At 40.1% G+C, this 20,438-nt stretch overlaps 1 annotated feature.

The window, feature by feature from the left end:
* Positions 17,854-18,148: an enhancer, noted in NCBI's record as "tiled region #3102; HepG2 Activating DNase matched - State 8:EnhW". NCBI's record gives its function as "activates a minimal TATA promoter and a strong SV40 promoter by Sharpr-MPRA in HepG2 cells {active_cell/tissue: HepG2}" and the evidence as "EXISTENCE:reporter gene assay evidence [ECO:0000049][PMID:27701403]".

Genomic DNA, 20,438 nt, shown 5'->3' with positions numbered 1-20,438 from the left:
TGGTCATCCCCTTTCCTCAGCTTGTATCTAAGTTCTGAGGGCAGAAGAGAGGTGAGTTTGTTCGGAATAGTTTTTTGCCCACACAGTTTGCCAAAGAGATGGTCACTGTCTAGTCCTGGTAGCTCCTTGAGGCCCAGTTTCTCACTGATGCTTCATGGTCCCAGGACACTAGATTTTGTGAGAATGTCTCGGGCCTTAACCGCCTAGATGCACATTCTGGGGTCTCGCTCCCTCTGTAGGATGCTGTCAGGATCCCCACTTCTCTAGGGCCTACAACCTCTCTCCTTTCCTCCATCCAGCCCAAGAGAATGTTCTTCTAGTCTGTAGCAGGCACTTCTATGAACCCCTGCTTTTGCCAAGCCACTCTACTTCTTTCTGCAACGGACTTTCAACTTTCCTCATCCTTGTTGGATACTTTGAGCACTCCTTTCAGTTTGGCCTTTGAAAACAGAAGCTAGAAGGAATTGAGGTCTTCCTTTTAGACTTTCAACCTGCCATTGACTTTGCTGAGGGGAGAGAAATGGGAAAAAAATTAATAGAAATTAATCTCTTAAATATATCTAGCTTTACAGCCAAAAGCAGTTAATTTGAGGAGGGAAAAAGAAGCTATCACATGGTCCATGACTTTGCCCTCAGTATCTGCATTTGAGTTTTGAGAAATAGCATAGTTTTTATTCAACCACACTTGACTGCCTCAGGTCATGGTGGTGTTTGAATCCTATGATCCAAATATGACCACTTATCAATATACTCACACCTGAATTAAACAACACTGTTCCACTCAATCATATTTTCTATTAAAAATATAATTTTCTATTGCATTAATTAATTTAAAATAATCTGCTGTTACTTATACTTGTAACATCATTTAAGAAAATATTTTAAAAGCAGGAAACCTTAAGTTCACAACTTTTATAAAATTTTGATCCACTTATTAATCTCAAAACTCCTACAGCCTTTTTCAACCAGAAAGAAGTTGTGTTTCCTTCTCAAAATAAATGGGATTTCCTCATGAAGCTGATTATCAGAATTGACTAATTATTAAATCATTAACCTTTTAATCCTTGCTCTAGCAGATTTCTAGTTCACCTCCAAAATAATCTTTAAGTTTTAAGAGGATTGTGTGCTTTCTTCAGATCAATTTGCAACATTTTTAAACAGAAAAAATGTTAATTATACAGATTTTTCTAAAGAGGTTTCATCATATGATATTACCTATACACATCAAATTGTTTTTTGTTTTTTTTTTCAACTTTTCAGCAATCGTGAACTCTTGGTCTCTGCCAGGCTAGCAAGAAATGTGAGGAGCCGTGTTCTGTGGCTCCACACTCAAGTCAGACCCAGCAGGCTTTGAAGGTGAGCATAAAAGGACTGCATAAGGATTCTAATATTTAAGCCCAGCTGGAGAATGTTACAGACCCTGTAGAGCTCCTTCAAGATGTGACAGGATTCCTCGTATTTCCGGCTGTAAATGCAACCTTTTCAACCTCAAATATCCTGCAATCCTTCAAGTATTAAGAAAGTTTCAACCTTGGTCTTTTAGTATGTTTTACTTAACACACCTCCTCATGTCATCAGAAGACCTCCCCAAATCCCGTTACACTGCTCCACTTCTGACCGGAAAGAGCAGAATCTGAGCTGTGCCTGGGTTAGGCTCAGAGCCAAATTCCTAAGTCTATTAAGAACCACCCTAAAATGACCAATCACAAGAGAGTCCCAGAGATCAAAAACCTCAAGAAATAGAACGGATCTTCAGCTGTCTTAAGGCAAAAACATCCTCAAACCCCATCTTCTCCTGTGGATCTTAGAACAGACGAAGCAAGGTAAGTGGATTTGGTTGAGTCCACTCATCTTTGTTATATGTGCCCTTAACAGCAAGCACAGGTACTATTTAGTATGACTAGATGGCCAATGAGCTACGAAGGAATGGGGCTGTCTATGAAGTGCCTTTAAGGTGACAGGTAGAAATGAATACTTGTTATAATTTTTTAAGTCCCAAGGAACATTTGTTAAGCAAGATTCTGTCCTATTCAGGACATGTATATCTTTCTCTGTATTTTCTGCCCTATGCAATTAGAGGCTATTATCCAATGATGACTATTATAAACCCAAGGCATTAATCATCCCATAGTTTTTTAGTGAAGATCTATGTAACTAATACCCCTTTCCTTAGTCATTAGCAGGCCTGGGAGAGACGAGATCATTTTGAGTCTCTGAAGTCTTAAAAGCAAACATTCACCAAATTCTTTCCACTTGTTTTGGGGCTTATTTACTGATTTAAAAAAAAAATCTTCCAAGTGTGACATTCCACAAACCCCACTGACATTGTTCTCCAAACACCTGGCTTAGTTGTCAAAAGGAAGAGAGTGGCGTGGGCAGGAAGATTGAACTGAGTAAGCCCTGGCCTGTTTTCATTTATGAAATCCCTTTCACTACTGAGCAAATGGAAAGGCAAGGCCACAGAGACTCCTTGAGGCATCAATCTGCTTGAATTAATGTGTTGCTACTCAGAATCTGATTGTGAAGCCTAAGAACTTGCATTTAAGGAGAAAACACCATGTGTGTCTGGGTATGCCGTGCAGATTGACAGGGAAACCAAGGCATGTGATGGACTTTGCAGAACATATCTGGATGCTATAAATCACCAGCTTTACACGTGTTACTTAGAATATCCGTATAGAGGGAATGCAATAATTATTTCAATATTAGAACCATCTCCTCTTCCAGGGTATTTTTACACCTAGCTTATTGAATTAATCATATATAAATCATTTTTCATGTGTTTTATAGTTGTCATGTCATGTTCCAAAATGACTATTATTTGAATATATCCATGTACTTAGAAAGCCCAAAATTAATTAAAATTATCTTAAAGAGAATTAAATAGATTTTTTAAGTGTTTAACACAAAACACCTATGCAAAATTTAATAGCTTTCCTTACCAGCAGGAAAACACAGGGAAAATAAAAGGAAAACTGGGTCTCTTTAGATTTGCAATAATATATAATGCTTTAGAATAACTTTAATGGGAAATGTAAATACCCTTATGAAGAAAACTACAAAACTTTATTAAGGAACATTAAAATTTTTTTGACTAAATGAAAATATATATCACATACTTCGATGGAAAGAATGGTTATTTAACAAAGTCAATACTTGCCAAATTAATGTGAAGGCTTAATGCAATTCTAATCAAAATACCATTTTAACTTTTTCCGTAAAATGATAAAACGATCTTAAAGTTCGTCCAGAAGAATAAACTGGCAAGAATAACTAGAACTGAAAAATAAGTGCATTGTACATCAGTAGTAGGTAAAATATAACACAACAAAAAAATAATTATGGCATTAGCACAAGAGTATAAAAATAGAGTTGACCCCTGAACAACTCGAGATTGAACTGTGCAGATCCACTTGTAGATGGATTTTCTCCTACCTCTGCCATCCCTGAGACAGCAAGACCAACCCTTCCTTTTCCTCCTCCTCCTGCTCAGCCTACTTAATATGAATACAGCAAGGATGGAGACCTTTATGATGATCTACTTGTGCTTAATGCACAGTAAATATATTTTCCCTTCCTTATGATTTTCTTTGTAACATCTTCTCTTCTCTACCTTACTTTGTTGTAAAAAGAACTACATAATATATATATAACATACAAAATATGTGATAATTGACTGTTTATGTTATTTGTAAGGTTTCCAGTCAACAGCCAGTTATTAGTAGTTAAGTTTTGGGGGAATCAAAAGTTATACGTGAATTTTGACTGGGCAGGGGATCAGCATCCCTAACCTCTGTGTTATTCAAGGGTCAACAGCAATCAGATAAAATTGGCTACATAAACCAGAGACTGATCCTACTAATCTATGCTTTTTTAATATAAAAAATCTAGGGAGGTGGCCTCACAAGTCAGTGTTGAATGTGCCTAGGTAGTTGGTTTACTCACTTGCCTATCTCTTGTGGTCACCCAATCTCATGCACATTTTCCCTATATTTCAATAATTTCCCACATTGTGAGGACTGCCTTCCAAAAATAATTTCTAGAAAAGTTCCTTCCCCAGTCAGATGTGGCTACATTTTCCTCAAAGGCTCCAGACGTTTTACAGGTAAACGCAGCAGCGGAGGCAGCTGGCAGATCACTCACCTGGCCAGTGCTCTGACACAGCTCTAGACGTAATTGCTGGAAGGTCGCCCCCCCCAGCTCAGTGATTTTGTGGCCACATGAGATCCTCAGTATGTGCTATGTCTGCTTAAATTAGCCATAGTGGATTCTGTTCTTTACAACTACAATGCTAACTAATAAAAATTGTTTTAATGAAAAACAGCTATTTAAATCCACACCTCACACCACACACATTAACGTGAATTCCTGTAGATTAAGAGATAACTGTTTTTGCATCAAATCTTTTAAAAACTAAAGAAAAATATAGATGACCTCTGAATAGAGAAAGACTCTCTAATGAGGGAAAACAAAAAAAAAAGAAAACAAGAAAAAGGTAAATACATTTCAGCACTTAAAAATGTTATACTTCTTGGGTGAAAGGGTACAAACATACAGTAAGATAGAAGGAATAAATTCAATGTTTGATAGAGCAGGGTGAGTATACTTAACAAAAATGTATTGTATTCAGGTGATGGACACCCTAAATACCCTGCCCTGACTTGATCACTTCACATTATATACATGTAACACAATTTTACATGCACCCTATAAATTTGTACAAATTTAAAAAAAATGCATTGACAAAGGCTTTTTTAAAAAGTTAGCATGCAGAATCTGTAAAAAGAAGTAAAATGTTGTTCATTGTCTTTTTATCTTTATGAGTTCTTTTGTTTCTAAATAAAGAAGGATTTACTCAATTAAAAAAAAATGTCACACTTCTATCCCTCCAAGGGGGGGAGTGTACAAAAGCTAATAAATATGTACTTATTGGCTTATTTAGATATTTTTATAAACATCACTAGTAATTACATAAATGCAATAAAAATAAGATGGTTTCAACTATCAAGTTAGCAAAGGTTTAATAATAATAATAATAATTTTTGATTCTAATAAAAACATTCATTTACTCAATTTGCAGGAATGTGGATTGGTACAAACTTTCTGGGATACAATCTCACAATATGTATATTAAGAGTCTTTAAAATATTTAGGCTGTATATGAAATGAGTAGTTCTAGAAATCTGTGTAAGGCAATAAATTATACTTTTCTATATTACTTTCATAAGCGAAAAATCAAAGGCATTACAGAGTTACTAAATACAAATTTAATGGAAAAAGAGACTACAAGGAAATCTTCCAGCAAGACTACTACTTCCCACCCAATACACTTAAAATTATACGTTAACAAATGAAAGTAAAGAAGGATGTATTTAGTCTACAAGTCAGAAACTGAAGTAATTCTGTCCTTCAGGCACATCACACACATTCTCTTTTGGAAGAAACAGAATAGAAAGGTACAGCTCACAGGCCTTTGTGACCCAGGAGTGGTACAGGAAACGGAGGAAAGGTTGTAAATTACTCTGAGGATTTCCTCCCCTCATTGGCTAAGATGGGTGCTTAACCCACACGGCCCAGCATTTAACATTGGGACTATTCCAGAACACCCAGTCATATAGTCACTGTGTGATCCTGACATCTCCTCAATATTTATAAAATGTCATGCCAATAAGGCCTTTCCTCCTATGGTAAGCTGGGATATTTTACACTGCTCAGATATTTGTAGGGTGCAGCCTCTGGCTTAGTTTGGCCTCAACCACAAATATAATTAGCTAGAGAGTAAGATTCAAAATTTAGTATAAACTAACCCAATTTTAGAAGCAAAAATAAGACATAATTCTGCTTATAATGAATCCAAAAAGTATAGTAAAATGTAGAATAATTGCCTCACATCTGAATTAATAGTGTTGACATAATCACTTAAATCTGGAAGTTACTTATTTCAAGAACTAGACACCTGAATTTGAGATAATTCTCCAAAGACTATTAGTAAATTATCAGTTATATTCCCCATTTATAACTGTCTTGTATTTTTTTCATTATATTATGTTATTTTATTTTTTGTGGAGACAGGGTTCTCAATATGTTGCCCAGGCTGGTCTCAAACTTCTGGCCTCAAGTGATCCTTTCCCTTCAGCCTCCCAAAGGGCTGGGATTACAGACATGAGCCACCATGCCCGGCCACTCATAATTATTATTAAGTTATTTCCTCGGTTATAAGACATCTGAGACATCTGGGTCAAGCATTTTCAAGATGCCATAAAATATCAACATGAGGCAGAAAACGTGAGGATGAAATGGTTCAAAGATGCAAATCTGAGAGACAGGGTATGGGTGAATCTGGGAGGTGGGCACACACCGAGAGGCAGGCCCTGGAATCGGAAACCACTCTCTGCCAAGAAGGGATGCACACTGATCTTTCCAGCCACACCCACATGTGGGGGAAACAATATCAGTGGTTATCTTTAACATCCTCTAAGCACATAAAGGACAAATGCAAGATTGTTTTACTCATTTTGGCAATTGTAAGTTTTCTAACTTTGAATCCACGTAAAGCTAGAAGTGTCATTGATGTGTATCTATTAAGTTTTAATGGTAGTCACCATGCCTATAAAGGTGGCCCAAGGTGATAAGATATCAGGGTTCAGTTCCAGAGAGGTGTGGCTGCCACTTCCAAGGAAGGCAGCAGCACATGGATGACCCACTCCTGACCCAGGGATAGCAACAAAGAATAACGGCACAAAGACAACCATGATTCAAAATGCCAAGATGTGCGCCGTGGTCTGATAGAAAATAATTGATCATGTTCTTTGTAATCATCCAAAGAAAAGACCACGGGGCTTAAGGTATATTCCATACATGTTTAAAAAGTTCATTTTAGTATTATTTATGAACATATGCAAAAAATCTATCCTGTGTACACATAATAGAGTCTGTTAATTATTTTGTCAGTTAATGGAGAACTCAGTTCAGGTTGGGCCTTTTAATCTAAGTAGAAAGTTCCCTCTCTCAGGTGTAATCCTCACTAAAGGACAATATGTTTAAGAGATATTTTCTAAGGAAATCTGAGAAAACACTGAGGTGAAAACCAGAGAATGTCAAGATCTTTCTCCCCAAAACCACTGCGTCTCCTCCCAACTCCACCATACTCCTCAGCAAGTTTTTTCCAATTCCTGCTCCCTTCCACAGGACCAGGTTAAGGACATGGAGACTGGTACTTACCACAAAGTAAAAGCCCTGTTGTGAGGGAGACTCACTGCGTTTTTTAAGTCCCTGCTAGGTATGGATGCCACATTGGCCTCTTTCCACCCACAGATGGCCCTCTCAGCTTCCAGAAACTAATTATCTAGGCTCCTAGTCACTCAGCCTTTCTTCTAAGGCTTCTGTACTCTGTGTCTGTTAAGTCCACCACTACTCCATGCACCTGCATCAATTACAGCTTCCTCCCCCACCTGGTGGCAACTCCAACAACCAAAACTCTGGGAGGTCCCAGACTCAACCCAATTCCTGAGCCTATGAGAATGGAGACAACAAGGACATCAGCATCCTTGCGTCCACCCGCATCTAATGGAATCAGGAACTAAGTCAATGGAATAGAGCCAAGAAACCTAGTAAGTCTGTACAATATTCCTCGTAGTTCATCTCCCATCTCCCATCATGTTGGAGTCTCCAAAGGGTAAGGTTTGTGCGTTGGTTTCCCCATTTAGCACTTGAGTTACTCTCAAGCACTAGAGCCATGCCCATCATAGCCTGAGGCCTGAGAGCATGCATAGTTGTGAGCAGCCTTCTCCTCTGATTCATTCTAGCCACAGACAAATTACCTGGCACTAAGCAACTGCCATCTGGCTGGTTTTGATCTATGCTGGTTATTCTCTGTGTGCTCCCTCACTTCCAACCATCCTCCACCCTTGTATGTCTTGCTCTGTGCCCCAGGATGCTGACTTCACGGATTCTCTCATTGCTGTCTCCAGATTGGGTTTGACCAATGGGAGGAACCAGGAGGAGATGGAACAGAAGGAGAACAAGAGGTCAGGTTATTTCTTTTCTTTTCTTTTTTATACTTTAAGTTCTAGGGTACATGTGCAAAATGTGCAGGTTTGTTACATATGTGTGCAGGTTTGTTACATATGTATACATGTGCCATGTTGGTGTGCTGCACCCGTTAACTCGTTATTTACATTAGGTATTTCTTCTAATGCTATCCCTCCCCCCTAACCTCACCCCACAACAGACCCCGGTATGTGATGTTCCCCACCCTGTGTCCAAGTGTTCTCATTGTTCAATTCTCACCTATGACTGAGAACATGTGGTGTTTGGTTTTCTGTCCTCATGATAGTTTGCTCAGAATGATGGTTTCCAGCTTCATCCATGTCCCTACAAAGGACATGAACTCATCCTTTTTTATGGCTGCATAGTATTCCACGGTGTATATGTGCCACATTTTCTTAATCCAGTCTATCATTGTTGGACATTTGGGTTGGTTCCAAGTCTTTGCTATTGTGAATAGTGCCACAATAAACATATGTGTGCATGTGTCTTTATAGCAGCATGATTTATAATCCTTTGGGTATATACCCAGTAATGGGATGGATGGGTCAAATGATATTTCTAGTTCTAGATCCCTGAGGAATCGCCACACTGTCTTCCACAATGGTTGAACTAGTTTACAGTCCCACCAACAGTGTAAAAGTGTTCCTATTTCTCCACATCCTCTCCAGCACCTGTTATTTCCTGAATTTTTAATGATCACCATTCTAACTGGTGTGAGATGGTATCTCATTGTGGTTTTGATTTGCATTTCTCTAATGACCAGTGATGATGAGCATTTTTTCATGTGTTTGTTGGCTGCATAAATGTCTTCTTTTGAGAAGTGTTTGTTCATATTCTTCACCCACTTTTTGATGAGGTTGTTTGATTTTTTCTTGTAAATTTGTTTAAGTTCTTTGTAGATTTTGGATATTAGCCCTTTGTCAGATGGGTAGATTGCAAAAATTTTCTCTCATTTTGTAGGCTGCCTGTTCACTCTGATGGTAGTTTCTTTTGCTGTACAGAAGCTCTTTAGTTCAATTAGATCCCATTTGTCAATTTTGGCTTTTGTTGCCATTGCTTTTGGTGTTTTAGTCATGAAGTTCTTGCCCATGCCTATGTCCTGAATGGTAATGCCTAGGTTTTCTTCTAGGGTTTTTATGGTTTTAGGTCTAACATTTAAGTCTTTAATCCATCTTGAATTAATTTTTGTATAAGGTGTAAGGAAGGGATCCAGTTTCAGCTTTCTGCATATGGCTAGCCAGTTTTCCCAGCACCATTTGTTAAATAGGGAATCCTTTCCCCATTTCTTGTTTTTGTCAGGTTTGTCAAAGATCAGATGGTTGTAGATGTGTGATATCAAACTATACTACAAGGCTACAGTAACCAAAACAGCATGGTACTGGTACCAAAACAGAGATATAGACCAATGGAACAGAAAAGAGCCCTCAGAAGTCAGGCTATTTCTTCTCCACTCCCTCCCTGGTCTGGGCCCTGTGTCTAGAAGTGGCTCTGCCCTCTTGTGATCACAACATTGGCCAGAGGCAGCTCCTCCCTAACAGCTCCTGATCTCAAGGGGCTGCAGAGACATCATTCTCTCTTACTCCTTCAGACCTAGGGTAGTAACAACTCCCAGCTGTTGCTAGTCCCTGAGTACTCCATCTTCCCTGATTGGCTCCCTTAACTCTGTCCACACCATTCTCAGCTTTCCCTTCATCACTGTCTTGTGAATGATCTGAACTGCATTCTGTTTCTTGAAAGTTTCTCCGTCGTTCATATCTACCACCATGTCCACTACCCCATTCCACATGCCTGATTCTTCACCCCCTACCGAAGCCTACTCTGCCCCATGGACAGGACATTTTGAGCCTTTCTGCATCCCACCAAGTGTGCCAGCCATGCTATACCCCCTAAGCATTGGACTCTACTCTGTCCAGGATGCTGCATTGAGATCTCTGCACACTTCAACTACACTAGCAAGATACTCAGCTATGACTATGACTTCACTGTTTACCTGGATCATTTCTGGTTTGCAAATATCCCAATGCACACTATTCATGCACAGCCTGGTTGTAACCCACCTTGCACTCACCATCAATACAGTAGATGTATCCCATTCTGGCTCTTCTTCATGTATTGAAGACCAGCTATACCCTGACTACCAGTTTCCAAGTGCTGTTCAGGGGCTGGGGTGCTACTGTATCCTCCCCTCCATCCTGTACTCTATACCAGCCAGTATAGCTGGAGCAGTCCCAGCACCTTCAGAGGGGATAAGGAGATGGGAACCATAAGACTTTCCATTGGATTATATCCTAAAATTCCATCAGATTCTGTATCCACAAAACTCAGCTATATTTGGGATCATATGTAGATGTGTCATGGTCTTGGGTGACTTTGAAAGAGCTGATAATCATTACTTTTAGAATTCTAGGCTCTTTGGACTTAAAACCTTCCTCATCTTGCTACAGAGGTCTGCATGACTCATGCTGCTATTTGCCTCCCTCATCCAGTGTCTGACCTCACTCTCAGGGAGGCCCCCTCCACTCTGGCAACATCCTACCCCAGACACCAGGCAAAATACAATTTCTCCCACTCCCTGACAGCCTGCCTCCTGTCTCCCCAAGATACCACTCCCTTTCTTCCAAAAGAGCCTCCCAGCCCTCCCTCTCCAGAACATCAGCCCTCGTGCTGCATAAATAATTTGTGCGTCTTCCTCCAATACCTTTCCTCTTTTCCCTTGTCATTTTCACTCACATGCTGATGTCCAAAAAGATGTGGGGGTGGGGGAGGGCTCTAGCCAGGAGGGAAGAAGATACATTATCTTCCTGGCACTTTCTAATAGGGTCTTTTTCAAAATTTGAAGGGAGATACACAGGTTGGAACAAATTTCTTTCAAGCCCATTTAGGCTTTCTTGTGCTTTTTCCATTATCATTTTTATAGCGGAGATTTCAGTGAGGATTCACAGTGAGTCATTTTATGAGGTAGCTCCATCTGTACCATCTGCAAGCATGACTTTCCCATCACTCCAGACATTACGTATCTCCTTATGGCAGCCCGGATAGGGGGTGGAGATTGCCAAGCCAGGTCACATGCCAGGAGTCCATCACTCATCTGAAGGTGGTGGGCAGGGTCTGCTTACAATTAGGTTCAACTCCTGGTTCTAGATAATATGTCCCTCTGGCTTCAGATGCTTTCTTGCCAGCTCCCTGCTGGGCCCAGGAGGAGTTGGGACTCTGCCTTCTTGGTTTCTTTCCTTCTGTATCTCTGATCCCCATCACACCTGCTTTCTTGCTCTCATTATCCGTATCTGTCTATATCTGTTTCCATCATCCCATCTCTGTCTCTTATTATACACCTCTCTCCATCTCTTTCTCCTTCCCCATGTTTCTGTTGCTCCATCTCTCCTCTGCCTCTCTTTCGCTAGGCCTCATTCTTTATCTCCCTCCTCTTGTCCTTCCTCTTTTCTGTCCTCTTCTCTGTGACTGGTCCTTTACAAAGAAAATTTTCAAATCACGCTAACATAGAATACAGCTGCTTCTCACAATGTAACCAGAATGCCAGGATGCAGAGCAAATGAATTCAAAAAATCCATCTCCCAAGACAGAGAATCTCATGTTCAAAATGTTTTTAAGAAAAGTCAGGATTTGTATATAGTGCTATTGCTGGATAAAACATATGTAAACTTTAGGGATGGGAGTGAGAAAGTCATTTGTGAAATGAGTATTAGGGAGAGGTCACCACTAAATCAGGAAGTAGAACTTCTCACTACAGTCTTTTCAATGCTAATATGGCCCAAATTTTAATTTAGAATAAATTTCCTGGGTGTCAATTATTTCTCCCACATTCTGTTCCATTCATTGTAAAACATCAGAACCAAAAATGAGATTGTGATTACGAATTTTTTTCTATAACTCAATCGCCTGCATTTAATTTGCATCTTACTTGGGGAAGCTATATAAGTAAATAAACAAAGACTTCCAAATCTTCAACACTGTCAATTCAATTTAAAGGATTCCTAGTAATAAAAAAAAAAGTCTGTCTTTACACGACTCAGTGGTACAACCACTCTATTAAACAGATGAATCTACTTCATGATTGTTTGACACTCACACTCACATGTTAAATCATCTAAACATCAAGGAAGGTGATTGGGGCTTTTCTTTTGTCACACCACAAAGATATTCATACAGATGGCATGACAGATACTTGACATATTATCAAATTCAAATCAATATGTGCTCAAATCCTTACTTTGCTAACTTACATGTTATGTGGCAGTTAACTTTTAAAAGCTTCAGTGTCCTCCTCTGTAAAATGTGCACTGTAGCACCCGTCCCACAGTATCCTTGGGAAAATGTAATGAAGTGCTATCTCTACTCCAGCTAGAAGTTAGATCATGCCCAATGCCTTTTGTGTTTCTTAAAAAGCTGCTCTATTAGGTACTATGAATTAGCCCTCAAATTAACAAAATCACCCAGTGATATAGATGGTTGAAAAACTGATGATTCCACTGTTTTAAAATTGTCTGACAGCCTTTCACATAATGTATTTAATTGTCTCACCCTTAGAATTGTCAATAACAGTAACAGCAGGAGCTAATACTTACTTAGGTAAGTTCTATGCTGCGTGTTTTATATGTATTGTCTCATGTTGTCTCACGACAACTTTTAAAGTAGATGTTTTCCTCCTTTTTCATGAAACTGAGGCTCACAGATCTTAAGTAATTTGCCTAATGCCACACGTACCTAGTCAGTGGCACAGCTGGAAATTTTCTGCTGTCGTTGTTGTAATCTCACCTTTTATTTTAGATTTAGGGGGTACATGTGCCGGTTTGTTACTTGGGTATATTTCGTGACACTGATGTTTGGATTACGAATGATCCCATAGCCCAGGGAACGAGTACAGTACCCAGCTGTTAGTTTTTCAACCCCTACCCTCCTCCCTCTCTACTGCCTCTAGTAGTCCCCACCGCTGGGAATTTAAACCAAGTCTTTCAGACTCAGAGCCCATGCTCTGCTCCCAAGACAATGTGGCACAAAGGGATAAGGTGACTACTGAACTTTATCATGACAGCTGATTTAGCTAATAAGTGGCTGAGGTTTTTTTTAATCTATGAACAATCTAGAAACTGAACAGCAATGTCTAATTTAAACTCTTGGAAAACAGCGCCTTTCTCCATCACAAGGCCTGAACATCAACTCCAGCAAGATTACAAGACCATGTAACATGGAGCCCAAGTCCTGGTATTAAGTCCCAGCTCTAACTGCAAGCTGTGTGCCCTGGGTAAAATCATATCACCTCTCTGATTCTCAGTTTTCAAATGTTGAAACATAACTAGAATAAAAGTTGAGAATTGAACCAAATGGTATGTTAAGTGTACCTTTTACCTAAGTGTAAAGTATTTTCATTTTCCTATGTAGGTTTTCCAAACAATAGAGTGTGGAAAAGCCGAGTCACCCTGAGATAAGTGTTAGGCTGAGAAATATTTGGCCTATGGGCCACTAGTCCAAGGCAAGAGCATGATATCTGCCATTATTACCATTCAAAAACTCTACGCCAGAATGAATGGGGGGTGGGGAGGAACAGAACTTTTGACAACAGACCAGTAAGAAATAGAATGTAGATGTTAATTCATAATAGAAAAAGAAGTACAATTCATAGCAGGAAAAAAATAAAAAGAAGTCTATTTTTTTCTATATATTAACATTTTCTGGCTGGGCATGGTGGCACATGCCCATAATCTCAGCATTTTGGGAGGCAGAGGCAGGAGGACTGCTTGAGCCCAGAAATTCAAGACCAGCCTAGGAAACATAGCAAGACCCCATCTCTACAGAAAATTTAAAAATTAGCTGGGCATGGTGGTGCACACCTGTAATCCTAGCTACTCAGGAAGCTGAGCTGGGAAGATTACTTGAGCCCAGGAGGTTGAGGCTACAGTAAGCAGTGATTGCACCACTGTACTCCAGCCTGGGCAACAGAGCAAGAACTTTTCTCAAAAAAAAAAAAAAGTAAAGAAATAGAATGTAGACATTAGTTCACGGTAGAAAAAGAAGCATAATTTATGGCAGGTAAAATTAAAAGTCTCTTTTTTCTATACATTAATATTTTGTATGCGTTTTTATCTATTCAGTAATGTCACATGATCACCTATGGAGTTTAACTTGAAATCTACTCCAAGACATGGTAAAAAACATAGAATCTAAGACTCTTGTGAAGTTTACTTCTGTTTGCCCAAAGATGGTCTATATCAATCAACAACTTCTGGTGTCACTGATTCACCTGCTAACTCTTCATGGGTAGATGAGTCCCTTTTCTGTAGCCCTTGTTGTTTTTCAGTTGGGAATTTCCAAAGGATTTGGAGTGCAACAAATGCTTTCCTGGACCCTGTGTAGTGAGTTACCACTTTGTCATCATTCAGGATTCAACACGGACATGAGGCTAATGCAGGACATGGTCATATAGGTTCATGGTTGCAGAACCATCTCAAAACAGAAAGCAAGGCTCTTCCTGTACTTTCTGTTGGTTTCAGGTGGGAACATTCACTTCCTAAATCATTTCTCATCGGAAAACAGCTGAACTTGGGTGTGGATGAGGAAAAAGGAAGAGATGATAACCAACTGAATGGAAAGCTCTTCTCACATGGCACCATCTGGTAGTGAAAAAGCAGGGGATTAGAGCTCCAGGCCCTGACCTGCAACTCTCTGTGGGACCTTGACTAGTCACTTAATTCTTCTGATCTCTGTCTTCTCATCTGTAGAATTACAAGACTCACCTAAATGGTCTCTTTCTAAGCCCAAGACTCTATCCAGTAATTTTAAATATTCTCTAGATTAAGTAAAGCTAAAATACTTGATTTCTGATTAAGCCCTTTTTTATTATTTACTCTAAGAGGCAAAGAAGATTCATCTTTTAAAAAAACAGACTAAGAAAAATTAACTATTAGCTCTGGAAAAAGTATAAAAATATCATTTTGCTCTACGTGACTATGTCAGTCCATGGTGGACATTAGCATCAGAATGCCGAGAGCAAATTTAGCTCCGCAGTGAAATACGGATTCAAACACATAGCCTTTATCAGTCCCTAGCAAATGTTATTCCCCGTACATAACTTTCCTGGGATCTTCAGTGTATTCCTTAAACTGCAAAATTTAAAGATTTCCCAAATAGCTGCTTCTAGAAACACATTTCACCCATGCAATGCCAGCAATACCAAAAGAAACTGCCATTTTAATTTTAATGTAAATATTGTAGACACTCATCACTTCATTGCCTAGTGGCACAGAAACAGATCTGGTACTTGAGATACCATTTTTCCTTTGTACAAGACGAACACTGGGTTCTTTGCTTAAAAATAGCTAAATTGATTTGTCCCCAGCATAGCATATGATAAGAAGAAAAAAAACAATTTAACTGAGGGGAGTTTCTTTTTGCTTTGGGAATTGTTTTAGAGCATTTCCTTCTGCTCAAACTGCATTTCTCTAATAGTAAGAGTAGTAGTGTAGAATGTGAAAATACCACTAAAAATTAAGGCCACTTTGAAACCCAGGTATATCAAAAACCAAGCCCTTCCCACCTCACCTTAAGAGAGAATACAGGAAGAAATCAGGATGGGTTTTCTGATAGCTACTATATTGCAATAATGAGACAGTTCAATATCTGAATCTTTACACCAAAAATTTCAGACCAATCTGTTGAGTAGGATAACAAACTACAAAGCACAAATGCCAGATTCCAACAGGCTTCTCATTCTTTGACTCAGATTCAGAGGCAAAGACTCATGATGGTAGTTTCATGTATTATTCAATGAGTAATACAATTTTAATGAGAAAAGCAAGAGAACAACAGAAAAGAAAGCAGCCTCCTAGTACACAGACACTTGGCTGAAGGCCAGACATACAGCCATTTGCAGCAATGAAGAAGTGGTCCATGTTCTCCCCACAAGTCTCATATGGTTGTATAAGTTCAAATGACAAAAGATATCAATTAAGCAATGGCTCCTTTCCTTGGCGTCAACCACAATTTCAGAAAAGCTGCCTGTCATCTTCTTTGCAGCCTAAGTCTATGTACAGTAGCTCCATTCAATGCAAGAGTCTGTGTGCTGGACACCAAGGGACGACAACAGAACTGGTTCTGCTTGACTCTCTATGAAGGTTGTATAAGCAAAGCTTGGAGTTCAGGGCAGAAGCCCAGATGGGCAAAGGACCAAAGAAGACAAGGGCAGCACCCTGCCCCTTTGCAACACAAGTAATCTCTGTTTATCACAGCAAATCCAGGCAGCCTCATGTTTTAAAAAGCAAAGTCACCAAATTTTCACCACCCAGAGATGACCATCTTTGCATGTTTTTAGATATCCTTCAAGAATTTATCTCCATACAAATGAGTGTATACGTCCATTTACTGCAAATAGAATAATAGCCATTTTATACATATATATAACATTCTAAAACTTATTTTTCTGACTTAGTAGTATGTAATATTCTGTATTACTTTTTAAAACTTCAAATCCCCTATTTTGGCACATTTAAGTTGTTTCCAACTTTTCTTTGTTCAAATGTATATACGCTCACATTTGCATGGCATTACATTCTGGAAAGACACATACGAAAATATCACACTATGATAAACATCTTTGAACATGCGTCTTTTCATGGAACATGCTTTTTCTGATTTTTTCCTTTGAAATATTACAAGAAGTGAAATTACAGCTTCCAAGACTCTGCACGTTTTTAAAGCTACTGAGACTTATCCCCAGACTGCCATACATTTTTCTTCAAGGGGAGCCCCACGCTCAGCATGGTGGCATGCAGGATGCCCAAGATTGGATGCTAAACGGCATGCAAATCCCTACTGCCAAGAAGCCGATGGGAAACAAACTGGAACACTTTCTAAAGCGTTGAGGTGATTCTTGCTTAGTGCCCAGAGATCTTTCAGCAATTTCATATAAAATATTCCTTCACGTCAGACCCATAATCACCCTTTCAAAATTGTGCCGTGGAGAGTCATGGATATGTATTCGCTGTGCAGGGCATAAATCTCTCTGATCCACGCTGCAACCTGCAGAGCTTCCCCTCCCACAGGAGCAGGGCTGCTCCAAGGCCAGCCAGGGCAGCTGAAAAGTATATGTTCTGGTCCCCGGTTCTCACCTCTTCTCCCCACCTCTCCCACACCCTCCCCCAGCTTCCGTCCACCTTTGGACTTGCACACTTCCCTTTGATAAATGCTTTTGGGAAAATATTTTATAAAATGCTTAACTATGCAAATCTGTCTTTCAAAACAGTACCCACGATCAAACCTAAATATGTAAAGGAACTACTGCACCTATTCAGTGCCAAATGGAAATGCTAGGGGGATCAGAGCCGTGAGGATTTGGTGAGTGCCAGCACAGAGCCCAGTCCTTTTCTGGCCTGGATCATTTGTCCAAAGAGCAGAACACAGTGGCTCTGCCCTTCAGTTGAAGAGCATCTCACATAGACTGAGGCTGGGTAGGAGATAGACCAATCAATGTCATTCCCCAAGAAGTTGGCATGAAAGTTGACATATGAGGGGAGCCTTTCTCATAGTCCTGGGGTGTTCTGCTATCATACTTGACACCTCTTACTTCACCATGAAAAAAATAATCACTCTAAGTGCAAACAGCTTCCCAAGCCCTGGGCTAAGTATTAATAGTCTGGCTCCTCCAAAAGCTGCCAAGAGTCCCCGTTCAGGTCTCCCAGAGTCTGCTGCCTTGGGACAGGCTTGGCTGCCCTCACTTATGTCACCACACACAGGCTCTCCAACCCTGGCTTATTCATATGCAGCATTTGCTGACATAGCAGCACACAAAATCACGGGGCTGTTATTTCCATTGTGGTCTTGCAATCAGTGCCAAGTGACCTATAAGCTCCTGAAATGCATCCTGAGCCCTTGGCACAGGAGGGCTATTTAAAGTCCGTGTCTGTGCAGGACCTGGAGTGTTTGCAGAATGTCCTAGTGCTGTGAGCTTTGGCCACTGCCCATGGTTATTCTGAACTCAACCTTGTCAAAGCTCAGAGGCAGTTGGTGGGGGAGGGGACAGCTGATAAGAACTTGGAAAGGACTGTACCTGTGTAGGGGCAGCTATACAAAGCTAGACCTTTCATGGTGGTCAGGGAGGTAGGCAGGTTCTGGGGACTCTGGAAGCTGCTTAAAGAAAACACTCTGTGACCCTGGTGAAATGATATCTTTCTCCAATCAGGCTCGTAAGAAGCAGTGAATGCTTTTATCTGTGCTCAGCAGCTTCAGAGTGATGAAAAGTTGATCAGCAAGACCCTCACACTCAGAACAACCTTAGTCCCCAAGACGGTCACCTGAGAGTCCCAAGCCCACTAATGGGTTTGTAGACTGCAGTCACTACAGGCAGCCAGACATCAATGATAACAATAATAATTACTGCATCTATGACTTGTAGAGTGCTATATACTATTGTACACTTCTTTGTAAATGAAATTGTATGCAATTTTATGTAACCCCCCTAATATCTTTGTGAAGCTAGTATATTATTCTTCATATTACAGGTGACTATCCTGAGGCTCAGAGAGGTTACATTGATGGTCCAGGTCACACAGCTAGTAAGTGACAGAGCTGGAATTCAAACCCAGGTCTGGCTGACTCGGAAGCACCTGCTCTTAACCTCTGCACCAGGCATACACCTACCTGCTCACTCACAGACAGAACAGAAGATAAGCACATTCAAAAGTTATTCCCATGTTGACACTCTTCTTTCTCATGGGCAGTTGACTCAGGTCCTATCTTCACAGGGTTTACTGGACCATGTCATTTGAATGCTACCCCATACCCACACCACCACTTGATATGGCCCAAAGCAAAATCAGCCTCTTTCATCAAAACTATTTCCTTCTTCATCTCTGACATGGAGCCATTATGCACGTCAACCAGGTGTGAAACTACATAACCATATTTATCTAACCCTTCTTCCTCACTTTCATGCAGTCAAATAAATCCTATCTTTTCTCCTTCAAAATGGTTCTTTGAAGCTAGCAATCAAGATTTCCTTATTCCAGCTGCCTTGGAGCTGGGCTCCCTGTATCCAGCCCCCAGCTCCTCTGCTCTCTCCTGAATATCATTTCCAGACCAGACTTCTTCAACAACGCTTCTGTCAATTCATATCTTGCCCTAGGCCTACAATCTCCTGACTATATTCCTTGGTCTGAGTATCAGGGCCCCCTATAACTGGACCCACCCTACCCTTCACTATTCCTCAAAGATGCCCTCTGCCCTACCAGATAAAACCACCTACACCATGCTCAGGGCAGAGGGCATTCTCTCCTCTGTACTTTTACTCACACCAATCCTCTCACCAACAAAACCCATCCCAACAACCTACAGCATCCCAATCCAAACCACCGTTCAACCATGAGGTTGATTTCACTGCCTCCATGAAACCTTCTTTTATTTCTCCCAACAAAACTGTCCTAACTTTTCTCCGATCAGCACTTTTGGTCTACTCAACACAATTTCCCAGTTCCTCATAGTCTTCACTAACTGCTTCCTGAATCTTGGTCCCTTTGCCTCTCAACCAGATGTTACATTTCCTGAAAACCAGAACTATGTTTATTTAAAATTTCTTAATAAATACTTACTAATAAAATAACTAATAACACAGTTGTCACTTGACTATACAAAGTGTATATTGTTGCATTTCACAAAAAACTCGGTGTATAGAGTTCAGTCAACACATCCATTTCTAAACTAATTATGATAAAGTTAAAACAACTTTCTCGAATCAAGAGACTTGGCTTGGCGTGACCTTGTGTGAAACAGATCTTAGCCATTGGTTGGCCATACATTTAAGTGAACCAGTTGAGGGAAAAAGCCAAGCCAAGGCAATTTGGTTCTGTATCATGAGAAACACAGTGACCAGGTGATGAATATAGGTCCCAAGGCAACCTGCACTGACCTGAACACATGCTGAGTGCCCTATTCAAATTCTGTGTATCACATGGTGACACTATTGATTACCCATGGGAATGGGATGAAACCAAGGAGGGGATATAGAAATGATTATAAATGGAAAAACCTTTGATGGAGTCAATATGTTCAGAGGCCTTTCCAATAAAAGGGACATTCTAACAAAAATCTGTTCTATGTTCCTCCATGGGCAGAAGCATTCGAAGAAAGTTTTAGGTGAGGGATGCAGGTTGTCCTAGTTTAACATGTATCTTAAGTATATATAAGTAGTAATTTCTCTGTCATAGAAACAATTGCACCAGACATTAAGTGTCTATGTCAGGAATGCTTTAGAAAGGATTCCTCCATTGAGTAGAAGCTACAGTGACACAGTCCACTGGAGGCTCTATGACCTCTTTGCTATATCACCTGGTTATATTGAGGAGATCCTGGACTTTTCTTGCCTCCAAGAATGTGATCATCATGAC

This window comes from Homo sapiens, chromosome 9 (assembly GCF_000001405.40).
Source record: "Homo sapiens chromosome 9, GRCh38.p14 Primary Assembly".
In the NCBI taxonomy this organism is placed as follows: Eukaryota; Metazoa; Chordata; class Mammalia; order Primates; family Hominidae; genus Homo; species Homo sapiens.
Note: the sequence above shows the minus strand (reverse complement) of the source record. Positions and strands in the feature narration are given on the sequence as shown.